Source organism: Homo sapiens, chromosome 5 (genome assembly GCF_000001405.40).
Source record: "Homo sapiens chromosome 5, GRCh38.p14 Primary Assembly".
Classification (NCBI taxonomy): Eukaryota; Metazoa; Chordata; class Mammalia; order Primates; family Hominidae; genus Homo; species Homo sapiens.
The window spans coordinates 90,014,398-90,017,731 of NC_000005.10; the positions used below are offsets into that span (position 1 = coordinate 90,014,398).

General features: G+C 37.1%; 1 non-coding gene across 1 annotated transcript, besides 1 other annotated feature; it reads right to left on the reverse strand.

Moving 5' to 3' along the window:
• Positions 314-363: an enhancer, noted in NCBI's record as "active region_22775". NCBI's record gives its function as "activates an Ori minimal core promoter by ATAC-STARR-seq in GM12878 lymphoblastoid cells {active_cell/tissue: GM12878}" and the evidence as "EXISTENCE:reporter gene assay evidence [ECO:0000049][PMID:35858748]".
• On the reverse strand, positions 2,224-2,323 carry MIR3660 (microRNA 3660). The gene has a single exon (NR_037433.1). It is a non-coding gene; the product is annotated as a microRNA 3660 (primary transcript).
• Between the last annotated feature and the right edge of the window lie 1,011 nt (positions 2,324-3,334).

Sequence of the window (3,334 nt, forward strand, 5' to 3'; positions counted from 1 at the left end):
GAAGGAGGTGGGTAGCTCAGTGCTGTTACAGGGAGGTGGCTAGAGACAGGAGCCAGAGGCTGTGATCCCAGTCCCCAAGGCCTATGTGGAGGGGCTTAGAAGTTTTTGCATGCCTCAGTAAGGGTTCAAGGTACTGAGAAGACTGGTGAAATAGCAGAGGCCTGGGGTCAGGACTAAGAAATTGTGGTGAGTTTTTAGTGTACTTGCATGCAAATAACTGGGACCATGAATCTCAGTAGTGGTTGCCTTCATGACAACCAAGGAGGCCAGCTGGGACTAGCAGCACTATCCTCATTGCCACCAATCTACCCAGATGCTATCTGGAGGTGAAAGGAAACCCAAAGAATCTCTTCTTTTTTCAAGAGAAATTGTCTAAAATATGAAGAGACTGGGAGACCATTAATTGTCAAGTTTTCATCCCACCACCCCTCCCTGCACAGTATTCAGTGACATAGAGGTCATGAGAAAGATTAGATTAGTTACTTACAGACTATACCCTTCATTTGCAATTTATAAATTGTGACCGTACCCTATACCTAGAATCTGGAAATTCTATCTCATATATCATTTATCTAAGATCTGTGCCATACATTAAAATGATTTTTCCCAGTTTGTGTGAGTAGTTATATAACCAATAAAATCTACTTTAAAAAGTAAAGACATTTACTATCAGCTTGACTTTATAATAAAACCAAGTTTAATTGTTTGAAAGTTTGATAAGGCATCTGCCCCATAGAAATGTCTTATTAGGCAAAATCTGTAGATGTTGGTCATTTGCTAAAGAGCCCCATTTTCTCCTCTCACCCCAATTTACTGAATGGGTCTGCTAAAAGCATAAGCTTTTTAGTCCCATAAGTAATTTTAAAATGATTATTCTAACTGAACTGCTCCTAAGATTTACTACCTATATTCAAGTGTAAACAAAACACTAGATCTCAGATTCAGTAAGGAACTTTTCCATTTCCTTTCTCTCCATTTAAGCTCAAGGCAGATATTATGATTTTGAAAGTAATATTTATTTGGATAATATCAGAAAACCAACCTAAACAAATTTTTTCTTCTCATGCTATTATTCTGAAACTTCCATGGTTATTTTTGTATACATTTTTCTTTCCCTCTTCCTTACAATCCTTATAACTTTATCCTCACTGGAGTTATTCTGTGTTGGAGCAGATAAACAAAATGAATTCTTACACTGTATTAGCCGAAGGGCAGCAGACATGAGAAGAAAAGAGAAGTGGTGTTCACAGTCGAAGGACGTGCTTTTCAGTAGTGATTCAGACAATTCAGAAAAGCTTACTCATCTCTTTCCTATCTGCTAGTGTGACCACTGTATTCTTCTTTTTCAGATTGCCTTCAGGGTTATCTGCTGTTTGAGTGTCATTACAAAAGTCAGGTCTGCTCAGGATCATGTCAAATAATTTATCCCCATGTCCTCATTTTAACTCCCCATTGCTTCTTCTCAGCCCTGTGCTCTGGGTCCTCACCACACATCAGGTCATAGAAGCTGGGTGCCCCCTCACATTGCTTTCTTTCTTATTATGCATACCAGTGTTATGCAAACCCTACAGGAGTATCTTAGGTTATGCAGTTTTCCCATGACATTTAAAGGAACCCTAAGCCTCTTGTGGGAAGTAAGATAAGGCATCCTTAGAAAGTGTTATCTCTACAGTTTACTACATTGGGATTACTATTCACTCAACTAAATATGATTTCAAAAAGTTAATTGTATTTTCTAGATATCTTAAAAAGAAACCATACATTTTTAAAAACATGCTGCTTTAACTTTGTCTAGAATCTTACTCCCTGCCCCCAAATTTAACAGCTTAGCTTTTCCATTGCTTAAGTAAGTGCCTTGTATTTGAATAATACAGCTTAATCAGATTTTTGAAAGCTTTTATTACATCGTTTTAAAGTGGCATAAATAATGTAAAGTAAGCCTAATTTCACATTAGACACCTTCTATGGCGGCTTATGAAGCTCAAGTTTTTTTAGTTTTTTTTTTTTTTTTTTTTTTTAATTAAGGCGATTCCAGCAGTCATTTCTGACTCTGTGGCATCTTTCTGCAAATCCTGTCCACTTTACTGCTATACCGAGGTTCATTTGTGTCATTCAAATCTTTGCTCTTTAAATATCCACTTATAAATTTATTATGGCAATACATTCATATCTTTACATTTAATCTGAAACTTCGGTAACAAGCAGGAGATGGAATAAATGAGTAGCAGACACACTTGACAAAGTCAAAATGCTCTCCTGTCAGTGCCCATATGAACTATTACAATGACAGAAGAGCATTTTAATTTTGTCCAGTTCTTCTTTCTCCTTTTCACTCTGCATTTCTCCTTCTCCAGCTGGCTACGGAAACTTTGATAAAAGATCCAGACTTTAAATGCCCAATATCCTCAAAAAAATGTCAGAGAATGTTTTAAAATCATAGATTTTGAATGACACAGATGAACTTCACTTGCAGCACTGCTGCAGTGGGGAATTTATCATTTTGTTAATTAAGAAGGGTTTTCCAATAGTCACTCCAGAAATTGCCTCTGGAATATCATTAATTAACAATCTTACTTCCACCATGGGAGGGAGGAATGAGGCCGAGCAGCAAAACTCACAAAAGGACTAACTTAAAATACACACACACACACACACACACACGCATTTGAAAAGCACCAGACAAATCTGGAAAAGAGGAGGGGAATGAATTACTTAACACAAATATTATAGGATCAACAGAGCTAACAAAAAATCCAATTCATAGCATTTAAAGCTATCTTAGTTCACAGGCCTTATGCTAGTCCCGAAATAAAGTCAACAATTTAGAAACTCTATCTGAACTAAATAATTTACCATGTTGTTTGGAATTTAAGGGCTTTCCCCCCAACAATGACTGCTTCCTTTCTAGGGAAGAAGAAAACAAGTCTTTTTTCCCCCCAGTTTTCTTATTTGTTGAGTATCCAGGTAACAAACTACTTAAAATCAACCAAACAAAACTTGATAATTGGCCCTATCCCCATGTGAGCCACAGAAGGATGTAACCATGGCAACCTGTCATTTAGAACAGACCATCTCACGTACCTTTCAGAATTTAAGCATATGAGAACTTATCCATTCCCAAGTAGAATTATCATGCCGGGAACATTTTGTTCTTTATTGCAGAGGAAGTATAAAGCCAGACTCTTAAATTGTTCTCAACAAGGTGTTCAGGAGAAAAGGAGGTTCAGTAGCCACGAAAAGATGGAGATACATACACTAATCTAAAGTTCTTTCTGTTGAGGAGTAAACAAGAATAGACTTGAGGAAAGGGCAATCATTAAAGCCGTGGTGACTG